The sequence below is a fragment of the Homo sapiens genome, chromosome 13 (assembly GCF_000001405.40).
Source record: "Homo sapiens chromosome 13, GRCh38.p14 Primary Assembly".
NCBI classification, from domain to species: Eukaryota; Metazoa; Chordata; class Mammalia; order Primates; family Hominidae; genus Homo; species Homo sapiens.
Genome location: NC_000013.11, coordinates 17,417,365 through 17,418,562, shown reverse-complemented (window position 1 = coordinate 17,418,562; position 1,198 = coordinate 17,417,365). Strand labels below are relative to the sequence as shown.

The 1,198-nt window shown below is 36.1% G+C and overlaps 1 annotated feature.

The window, feature by feature from the left end:
* Nucleotides 1-1,198: part of a centromere (Linear centromere model derived predominantly from reads generated in PMID: 17803354. This region does not represent an actual centromere sequence, as long-range ordering of repeats and unmapped WGS contigs is not provided by the model. For details of model production, see http://arxiv.org/abs/1307.0035.) that runs on past both edges of the window.

Genomic DNA, 1,198 nt, shown 5'->3' with positions numbered 1-1,198 from the left:
TATGTGTAGTTTTTATGTGAAGACATTTCCTTTTCCACAATAGGCCACAAAGCTTTGCAAACATACACTTGCAGATTCTGCAAAAAGAAAGATTCAAAAATCCTCAATCAAAAGATAGGTTCAACTCTTGTGAGTTGAATGCACACATTGCAAAGAAGTTTCTCAGAATACTTCTATGTAGTTTTCATGGGAAGATATTTCCTTTTCCACAACAGGCCTCAAAGGGCTCCAAATATCCACTTGCAGATTCTACAAAAAGAGTGTTTCAAAACTGCTCCATCAAGAGAAAGTTTTAACTCTGTGAGATGAATGCAAACATCACAAAGATGTTTCTCTGAATGCTTCTGTGTAGTTTTAATCTGAAGATAATTGCTTTTCCACGGTAGGCCTTAAGGCCCTCAAAATATCCAGTTGCAGATTCTGCAAAAAGAGAGATTCAAAACTGCTCATTCTTAAGATAGGTTCAAGTCTGTGAGTTGAATGCATACATCACAAAGAAGTTTATCAGAATGCTTCTGTGTAATTTTTATCTGAAGATATTTCCTTTTCCACCATAGGACACAATGGGCTCCAAATATCCACTTGTACATTCTACAAAAAGAGAGACGCAAAACTGCTCAAAGAGGACATATGTTCAACTCTGTGAGTTGAATGCACACGACACAAAGAAGTTTCTCAGAATGGTTCTGTGTAGTTTTTATGTGAAAATATTTCCCTTTCCACAATATGCCTGAAAGCTCTCCAAACATCCCCTTGCAGATTCTGCAAAAAGAGAAATTCAAAACTGCTAAATCAAAAGATATGTTCAGCCCTGTGAGTTGAATGCACACATCACAAATAAGTTTCTGAGAATGTTTCTTTGTAGTTCTTATTTGAAGATATTTCCTTTTCTACCATAGCCCTCAAAGGGCTCCAATTATTCACTTGCAGATTCTACAAAAAGAGTGTTTCAAAACTGCTCAATCAAAAGAAAGTTTCAACACTGTGAGATGAATGCAAACATCAAAAAGAAGTATCTCAGAATGGTTCTATGTAGTTTTTACGTGAAGATATTTCCTTTTCCACAATAGTCCTCAAAGGGCTCCAATTATCCACTAGCAGATTGTACAAAAAGAGTGTTTCAAAACTGCTCCATCAAAAGAAAGTTTCAACTCTATGACATGAATGCACGCACCACAAAGAACTTTCCCAGAATATT